Source organism: Homo sapiens, chromosome X (genome assembly GCF_000001405.40).
Source record: "Homo sapiens chromosome X, GRCh38.p14 Primary Assembly".
Lineage (NCBI taxonomy): Eukaryota > Metazoa > Chordata > Mammalia > Primates > Hominidae > Homo > Homo sapiens.
The window spans coordinates 1,143,477-1,153,613 of NC_000023.11; the positions used below are offsets into that span (position 1 = coordinate 1,143,477).

A 10,137-nucleotide genomic window follows, 5' to 3' on the forward strand; every position below is an offset into this window, starting at 1 on the left:
CCGAGGAGCTGAGACTATTTACCATGTTCCAGCACCCCTGGGCCACAGAGCGAGACTCCGTCTCACACACACACACACACACACACACACACACACACACACACACAAAATGACCACAGACTCACCAAGTAAAGTCCCGAGGAGCTGAGAGTATTTACCATGTTCCAGCACCCCTGGGCCACAGAGCGAGACTCCGTCTCACACACACACACACACACACACACACACACACACACACACAAAATGACCACAGACTCACCAAGTAAAGTCCCGAGTAGCTGAGAGTATTTACCATGTTCCAGCACCCCTGGGCCACAGAGCGAGACTCCGTCTCAAACACACACACACACACACACACACACACACACACACACACACACACAAAATGACCATAGACTCACCAAGTAAAGTCCCGAGGAGCTGAGACTATTTACCATGTTCCAGCACCCCTGGGCCACAGAGCGAGACTCCGTCTCACACACACACACACACACACACACACACACACACAAAATGACCACAGACTCACCAAGTAAAGTCCCGAGGAGCTGAGACTATTTACCATGTTCCAGCACCCCTGGGCCACAGAGCGAGACTCCGTCTCAAACACACACACACACACACACACACACACACACACAAAATGACCACAGACTCACCAAGTAAAGTCCCGAGGAGCTGAGACTATTTACCATGTTCCAGCACCCCTGGGCCACAGAGCGAGACTCCTACTCAAAAAAAAAAAACAAAAAAAAAAACAAACAAAAAAAAAACAGAAAACCGCATCGTCTCCAAGGCACTGGGGAGACTCCAGCTACAAAGACAAACAGGTGCGCAGGGGATTTTTCATTAAAGCGACAGGAATTTTCTCCATTTTTAAGTATCGTAAACATATACAACACACAGGAAATGAGTCCTCGGAGGCTGTTTGGGCCCAGAGCAGCAGAGATAATTAGGTTAGTGAAGTAATTGAAATACAATATCACAGGATAGCTTGGCCGTCCTTCCCGTCTTTATTAGGGTGGATTATACCTGCTTGAGAGATTATTTATAGCCTCGTGGTATCCTGGTAATAAAAGATTGGTAATGGAAAAGTGTATCTAAACAGGACACGGATGACATCAGCATTGCAAATTTTTCTGAGCAAATGAGAAGGGAAGAGATAGTATAAAATTATTAATAAATTACGTTAGGCACCGTGGCTCACGCCTGTCATCCCAGCACTTTGGGAAGCCGAGGTAGGTGGATGACCTGAGGTCAGGAGTTCGAGACCAGCCTGGCCAACACAGAGAAACCCCGTCTCTACTAAAAATACAAAAATTAGCCAGGCGTGGTGGTGCATGCCTGTCATCCCAGCACTTTGGGAGTCTGATGCAGGCGGATCACCTGAGGTTGGGAGTTCGACACCAGCCTGGCCAACATGGTGAAACCCCATCTCTACCAAGATACAAAAATGAGCTGGGCGTGGTGGTGGGCACCTGTAATCCCAGCTACTCAGGAGGGAGGCCGAGGCAGGAGAATGGCGTGAACCCGGGAGGCGGAGGTTGCAGTCAGCTGAGATTGCACCACTGCACTCCAGCCTGGGAGACAGAGGGAGACTCCATGTCAAAAAAAAAAAAAAAATTATCCAAGAGAAGAGATACATGGAGCAGAGTATAGGAGAGGCAGGCACAAGCTTCTTGTTGTCTCTTCCCAGTGGAAGGGTAGACCCAGCTTCTCCCAGCCATGATGTGTGACAGCAAACGCAAGATATTGCCGAGTAGATAAGTTCATCCACGTCTGGAATTCCAGGGTCTTTACTGGGGGGATGGTCTACACAGGAGGAACCTCCTGCTTGGCTGACTTCAGGATCCAGCCCTTCCAGAGGTGAAGGTGAATCCATGTTCCCCCAAACCCCGCCGCAGATCACATGGCAGCTTAAGTAACCTGGTGTGGCCCAGACCACGCAGCACGGCCCAAGACACCCGGGCAAACGCGGACGTTTTTCCTGGGGTCCTTGGAATGTTCTGCCTGATAAGAGTGTCCTTCTGGCAGGGTTTGGTGGCTCAGGCCTGTCATCCCAGCACTTTGGGAGGCCGAGGCGGGTGGATCACCTCAGGTCGGGAGTTCGAGACCAGCCTGACCAACATGGTGAAACCCCATCTCTACTAAAAATGCAAAATTAGCCAGGCGTGGTGGCGCGCACCTGTAATCCCAGCTACTCTGGAGGCTGAGACAGGAGGATCGCTTGAACCCGGGAGGCGGAGGTTGCGGTGAGCTGAGATCACGCCACTGCACTCCAGCCTGGGCAACAAGAGCAAAACATCTTAAAAAAAAAAAAGAGTTTCCTTCTGGCAGGGTTTGGTGGCTCATGCCCGTAATCCCAGCACTTTGGGAGAGGGAAGCAGGAGGATGACTGGAGTTCAGGAGTCTGAGACCAGACTGAGCCCGTTTTATGTTTTGTTGTTGTTGAGACAACGTCTCACTCTGTCCCCCAGGCTGGAGAGCACTGGTGAAATCACAGCTCATTGCAGCCTTGAACTCCTGGGCTCAAGCAGTCCTCCCACCTAAGCCTCCAAATAGCTGGGACCGCATACCTGAGTCACCACACGTGGCTAACTGCAGGATGTGAACATCTTTGGGGACATTATTCTGTCCCCCACATGGGGATTAGGACGTGGACATCTTTGGGGACATTATTCTGTCTATCACATGGGGATTAGGACGTGGACATCTTTGGGGACATTATTCTGTCTCCCACATGGGGATTAGGACGTGGACATCTTTGGGGACATTATTCTGTCTATCACATGGGGATTAGGACGTGGACATCTTTGGGGATATTATTCTGTCTATCACATGGGGATTAGGACGTGGACATCTTTGGGGACATTATTCTGTCTCCCACATGGGGATTAGGACGTGGACATCTTTGGGGACATTATTCTGTCTATCACATGGGGATTAGGACGTGGACATCTTTGGGGCCATTATTCTGTCTATCACATGGGGATTAGGACGTGGACATCTTTGGGGACATTATTCTGTCTATCACATGGGGATTAGGACGTGGACATCTTTGGGGACATTATTCTGTCTATCACATGGGGATTACGACGTGGACATCTTTGGGGACATTATTCTGTCTATCACATGGGGATTACGACGTGGACATCTTTGGGGACATTATTCTGTCTATCACATGGGGATTAGGACGTGGACATCTTTGGGGACATTATTCTGTCTATCACATGGGGATTACGACGTGGACATCTTTGGGGACATTATTCTGTCTCCCACATGGGGATTAGGACGTGGACATCTTTGGGGCCATTATTCTGTCTATCACATGGGGATTAGGACGTGGACATCTTTGGGGCCATTATTCTGTCTATCACATGGGGATTAGGACGTGGACATCTTTGGGGACATTATTCTGTCTATCACATGGGGATTAGGACGTGGACATCTTTGGGGACATTATTCTGTCTATCACATGGGGATTAGGACGTGGACATCTTTGGGGACATTATTCTGTCTCCCACATGGGGATTAGGACATGGACATCTTGGGGACATTATTCTGTCTATCACATGGGGATTAGGACGTGGACATCTTTGGGGCCATTATTCTGTCTCCCACATGGGGATTAGGACGTGGACATCTTTGGGGACATTATTCTGTCTATCACATGGGGATTAGGACGTGGACATCTTTGGGGACATTATTCTGTCTATCACATGGGGATTAGGACGTGGACATCTTTGGGGCCATTATTCTGTCTCCCACATGGGGATTAGGACGTGGACATCTTTGGGGCCATTATTCTGTCTATCACATGGGGATTAGGACGTGGACATCTTTGGGGCCATTATTCTGTCTCCCACATGGGGATCAGGACGTGGACATCTTTGGGGCCATTATTCTGTCTATCACATGGGGATCAGGACGTGGACATCTTTGGGAGTGACATTATTTATCCCTCCACCATTCACTCTGTCCCAGGATCCATTCCATCCTCCCCTGACTTCCCTTTCTTGTGAGCGTGGCTGAGGCAAAATCTGCCCGTCTCCCAAGACTGCAGGCTGCACCTGCCCCGACTCCGCATTTCTCTTCCTCTTACGTACGCCCCTTCAATGCCATTCCTCTGTCTCACTTCACGTCTGTTCAGTGCTTTCAGGAGAGAATTCACCGGGGGGATCACCTCTGAACAACGCCATTCACCAGCTCTCTGGGGCCTGCGAGTCTCTGCCTTCATCCTCACGGTCTACGAGGCAACGTGATCCTGCTTTTTTATTATTCCTGGGTGGACGCTAACCGCCTCCTGGTTTCCTGGGGCCCAGCAACGTCCACACTGGCCCTCCTGGCTTCTTTGTCTAGATTCCCTTCTTGAACTTCAATGTGAAGCGTTTGCGTACCTGCCACCACACTTCCTCCCACGTTCCAAAGCCCGGTCAGCTTTCTCACAGCGGAACTCAAACACCAGGGGCTTATCTTCACCAGTGCTGCAAAAACAGCCTTTCCCAACGGGCCTTCTCTTTCATGTCGAGCCCGTTCCTCCTCTTCCCTCCCTCCTGTGGGCAGCGGCGGCTGCGTTTCTGAGCAACTGGCTTCATGGGGGCGGAAAGACACAGAAGATGCTTCTGCAGGGGGACGGTTTCTGAAGCCCACATGACCAGTGGGGCAGCCGGGGCGGGGCAGAACGTGCTTTTAGTTTATTTTTATTATTTTATTTCATTTATTGTATTTATTTATTTTACACATTTATTTATTTTTCTGAGATGGAGCTTAGCTCTGTTGTCCAGGCTGGAGTGCAGTGGTGCCGGGCAGAATGTGCTTTTAGTTTATTTTTATTATTTTATTGTATTTTATTTATTTATTTAATTAATTTATTTATTTTATATATTTATTTATTTATCTGAGATGGAGTTTCACTCTGTTGTCCAGGCTGGAGTATAGTGGTGTGAAGCAGAACGTGCTTTTATTTTATTTTTATTATTTTATTTTATTTATTTACTTATTTTTTTTTATATATATATATATTTTTTTGAGACGGAGTTTCACTCTGTTGTCCAGGCTGCAGTGCAGTGGTGCCGGGCAGAAAGTGCTTTTAGTTTATTATTTTATTGCAGCTTATTTATTTATTTAATTATTTATTATTTACTTATTTACTGAGACGGAGTTTCACTCCTGTCGCCCAGGCTGGAGTGCAGTGGCGCGATCTCGACTCACTGCAAGCTCCGCCTCCCGGGTTCAAGCGATTCTCCTGCCTCAGCCTCCCGAGTAGCTGCGATTACAGGCACCTGCCACCACCATGCCCGGCTAATTTTTGTATTTTTAGTAGAGACGGGGTTTTGCCATGTTGGCCAGGCTGGTCTTGAACTCCTGACCTCAGGTGATCCGCCCGCCTCGGCCTCCCAAAGTGCTGGGATTATGGGTGTGAGCCACTGCGCACGGCCATATTTTATCTATTTATTTACTTGCTCACTTATTTTGATATGTAGTCTCACTCTGTCCCGCAGGCTGGAGTGCAGTGGCGCAATCTTGACTCTCTGCAATCTCCACCTCCCGGGTTCAAGTGATTGTTCTGCCTCAGCCTCCTGAGTAGCTGGGGTCACAGGCACCTGCCACCATGACCAGCTAATTTTTGTATTTTTAGTAGAGACAAGGTTTTGCCATGTTGGCCAGGCTGGTCTTGAACTCCCGACCTCAAGTGATCCACCCACCTTGGCCTCCCAATGTGCTGGGATGACAGCTGTGAGCCACCATGCCCAGCCCAGAACATTCTTTTAAATGACAGTGGTGAAGAGCCAAAAAATAATAATAATAATTCTTTTTGTAGTAGTAGATTCAGTTCTAAAGCAAACTTCTTTAAAGACTGGGTGCAAAGCTACCTTTACACACAGAGAGAAACTTCACCCGGAGACAGGATTGCTAGTTGCTGAGATGTACTCAGATCAAACTAAGCTGGAGAGGGGCTCTTGGCCTCAGCACTGCTGACATTTGCGGCTGGAAGATTCTTTGCTGTGGGGCCATCCTGGGCACTGGAGGGTGTTGAGCAGTGTCCCTGGGCTGCACCCACCAGGTTCCAAAACCACCCACTCCCCAGTGAGGGCAACAAAAAATGAAAAATGACCGTAAATACTGCCCGATGGCACCTTAGAGCAGAATTATCTGCAGTTGGGAGTCAGTATCAATATAGATAGAGAGATAGTAGATAACAAACAGATAGATAAATAGATACATAGAAAAATGGATGCATAGGCCGGGCACGGTGGCTCACGCCTGTCATCCCAGCACTTTGGGAGGCCGAGGCGGGCGGATCACCTGAGGTCAGGAGTTCGATACCAGCCTGACCAACATGGTGAAACCCCATCTCTACTAAAAATACAAAAATTAGCTGGGTGTGGTGGCGGGTTCCTGTAGTCCCAGCTACTTGGGATGCTGAGGCAGGAAAATCACTTGAACTCAGGAAGCAGAGGTTTTAGTGAGCCAAGATCATGCCACTGCACTCCAGCCTGGGTGGCAGGAGCAAGACTCTGTCTCAAAAAAAAAAAAAAGAAAAAAGAAAAGAAAGTAAAGAAAAATGGATGCATAGGTAGAAAAATACAAAAAATAGATGATAGATAGATAGCTAGATAGATGATGGAGATGATAGATAGATAGATAGATAGATAGATAATATAGAAAAATAGAGAAATGGATAATAGATGGATACGGAATAGATGGATAGAGATAGATACATAGATAGATGACAGATACATAAATAGATGATAGGTGATGGATAGATCGATAGAGATAGATGATACAAAGATAGAAAAATAGATGGATAGAGATAGATAGAAAAAAATAGATACATGATAGATAGATAAATAAATGACAGAAAAATAAACAGGGACTGGGCGTGGTGGCTCACACCTGCAATCCCAGAACTTTGGGAGGCTGAGGCGGGCGGATCACCCGAGGTCAGGAGTTTGAGACCAGCCTGGCCAACATGGTGAAACCCCATCTCTACTAAAAATACAAAAATCAGCCGGGCGTGGTGGTGCACACCTACAATCCCAGCTACTCGGGCATGGTGGTGCACACCTACAGTCCCAGCTACTTGGGAGACAGAGGCAGGAGAATCACTTTAACCTGGAAGAAGGAGGTTGCAGTGAGCTGAGATCGTGCCATTGCGCTCCAGCCTGGAAGATGAGAGTGAAACTCCATCAAAGAAAGGAAGAAAGAAAGAGAAAGAAAGGAAAAGAAAGAAAGAGAGAGAAAGGAAAGGAAGGAAGGATGGAAGGAAGGGCAAGAAAGAGAGAGAGAAATAAAGAAAGAAAGAAAAGAGAGAAAGGAAAGGAAGGAAGGATGGAAGGAAGGGAAAGAAAGAGAGAGAGAAAGAAAGAAAGAAGAAGGAGAAAGAAAGAAGAGAGAGGAAAGGAAGGAAGGATGGAAGGAAGGGAAAGAAAGAGAAAGAAAGAAAGAAAGAGAAAAAGAAAGAGAAAGAAAGAGAAAAAGAAGAAAGAAAGAAAAAAGAAAGAAAGAGAGAAAGAAAGAAAGAAAGAAAGAAAAGAAAAGAAAAAGAAAAATAGGGAGACAGATGCAGAGACGGAGTGTCTTGTGTCTGAGCCTCAGCACTGCTGACATTTAGGGCTGGATGACTGACTCTGTGATGGGGCCGTCCTGTGCCCTGTAGGATGCTGAGGAGCATCTCTGGGCTCGCCCACCGGGCCCCAGGAGCACCCCCTATCCCAGTTCTGACAACTAAAGGTAATTTCCAGACAGTGCTCAGTGTCCTCTGCGGGTGCAGAATCGCCCCTGGCTGAGGACCTCTCACCACTGATGTCTCCCTGACTCTGAGAGTTTTACCCATGGGTGATGATACTTTGGAACTCAGAATATCCTGTAGCCATTTATGTCCCAGGGAGAGAGAGGAAGAGAGAGGAGAAAGCGGAAGAGAGACGAGAGAGAGAGAGAAGAGAGAGAAAAGATAGAAAGAGAAAGAGAGGAGAGAGAGAGAGGACAGAGAAAGAGGAGAGAGAGAGAGGAGAGAGAAACAGAGAGGAGAGAGGACAGAGAGAAGAGAGAGGAGAGAGAAAAAGAGAGGACACAGAAAGAGGAGAGAGAAAGAGAGAGGAGAGAGAGAAAAGAGGGAAAGAGGAGAGAGAGAAAAGAGGGAAAGAGGAGGGAGAGAGAGGACAGAGAAAGAGGAGAGACACAGGAGAGAGAAAGAAAGAGAAGAGAGAGAGGAGAGAGGGAAAGAGAGAAAGAGAGAGAGAGGAGAGAGAGAGAGAGAGACCAAGACCCACCTCTTTCTCCGTTTCTGAAGTCAGGATTTTGCACCCGGAAAAGAGCACATTGAGGCCGGCCTTCCAGTTGCGGTGGGGCTGAGCCCGTGTCTGCAACCCAGATGCCATTTGGGAAATCATGGTTTTCTCCTGCACAGGGTCCATAGGCCCGGGGGGCAAATTTCCCACTTAACAGACGGTCCTTCTAGCAGGGTTGGTACAGAAGCTTCCCTTTCACTAACATCTTCCAACCTTCCTTCTAAAAAAAAAAAAAAAAAAGTAGGGGGAGAGGGGGAGGTAACCACAGAACAGTTCTTTTATTTATTTTCCCCAAAACAATCAACTATTTAGCCAGCGCGTCCCTGGCTTCTCACCTTGGTGGTCAGGTCATTAATTATGAGCCCAGGTCGCCGCTAAAGACCTTTCCTGGCTGGTCCTGCCTCGGTGCACACAGCAGCAATAGCTGGGGCTTGTCAGGGCCTCCGCAGACCCCCAGGAGCTGGGGTGAGGGAAAGTGAGTCCTAAAAGGGCCACTGTGCCTGGAAGGACGAAGGAGGGAGCTGGGAGGAGGGAGGGAGGGAGACCGTGGTCTCTCTCCAGCCTCTGGAGGCCGTGCCAACTGGGGCTGACGGAGAGGGTGCATTTCACCCTGGCAATGCCTCCACTTTTCCCGGATTCAGAACTTGCAGCCTTGGAGTCTGGGGCAGGAGAGCCTGCCTTCTGGGAACCCCTCTGTCTCGAGATGATGAGGGTCACAGCTTCCCCATCACAGCTGGCCAATCGAGGCACGACCAAAATCGATTCACAGGAGTCTGTGCCTCGACCTCCAAAGCCACATTGGCTTTTTTTGCTCTGCGTGTCTTCAATCTCTCCAGCTGGCTGAGAGTGTATTTTTTTTTACAAGAGACATTTAGGATGAGAAATGAAGGTTTACATGAATTAAACAGGCTGGGCACAGTGGCTCACGCCTGTCATCCCAGCACTTTGGGAGGCCGAGGAGGGTGGATCGCCTGAGGTCGGGAGTTCGAGACCAGCCTGGCCAACATAGGAAAACCCCGTCTCTACTAAAAATACAAGATTAGCCGGGCGCGGTGGCTCACGCCTGTCATCCCAGCACTTTGGGGGGCCGAGGAGGGTGGATCACTTGAGGTCGGGAGTTCGAGACCAGCCTGGCCAACATAGGGAAACCCCATCTCTACTAAAAATACAAGATTAGCCGGGCGCGGTGGCTCACGCCTGTCATCCCAGCACTTTGGGGGGCCGAGGAGGGTGGATCACTTGAGGTCAGGAGTTCGAGACCAGCCTGGCTAACACAGGGAAACCCCGTCTCTACTAAAAATACAAAAATTAGCTGGGTGTGGTGGCGTGTGCCTGTAATTCCAGCTACTCAGGAGACTGAGGCAGGAGAATTGCTTAAACCGGGACGCAGGAGGCGGAGGTTGCAGTGAGCCAAGATCGCACCACTGCACTCCAGCCTTGGCTACAGAACAACGCTCCACTTAAAAAAAAAAAAAGTTAAGATTCTATGACACTGGGTGCAGGAGCTCACGCCTGTAGCCTGTAATGCCAGCACTTTGGGAGGCTGAGGCAGGCGGATCGCCTGAGGTCGGGAGTTCGAGACCAGCCTGGCCAACATGGCGAAACCCCATCTCTACTAAAAATACAAAAATTAGTCGGGCGTGGTGGTGGGCGCCTGTAATCCCAGCTACTTGGGAGGCTGAGGCAGGAGAATCGCTGAAACTTGATCTAAAATAATAATAATAATAATAATAATAAATCCATAAATGTATACTGAGAAGTAGAGTATTTAATTCATTTATTTATTTTTATTTCATTATTTTATTTTATTGTTTAGACAGAGTCTCCCTCTGTTGCCCAGGCTGGA

The 10,137-nt window shown here is 48.5% G+C and overlaps 2 annotated features.

The window, feature by feature from the left end:
• Positions 8,384-8,885: an enhancer, noted in NCBI's record as "H3K4me1 hESC enhancer chrX:1252013-1252514 (GRCh37/hg19 assembly coordinates)". NCBI's record gives its function as "activates a minimal SCP1, AML or CMV promoter by ChIP-STARR-seq in naive H9 embryonic stem cells {active_cell/tissue: H9 hESC(naive)}" and the evidence as "EXISTENCE:reporter gene assay evidence [ECO:0000049][PMID:30033119]".
• Positions 8,886-9,385: an enhancer, noted in NCBI's record as "H3K4me1 hESC enhancer chrX:1252515-1253014 (GRCh37/hg19 assembly coordinates)". NCBI's record gives its function as "activates a minimal SCP1, AML or CMV promoter by ChIP-STARR-seq in naive H9 embryonic stem cells {active_cell/tissue: H9 hESC(naive)}" and the evidence as "EXISTENCE:reporter gene assay evidence [ECO:0000049][PMID:30033119]".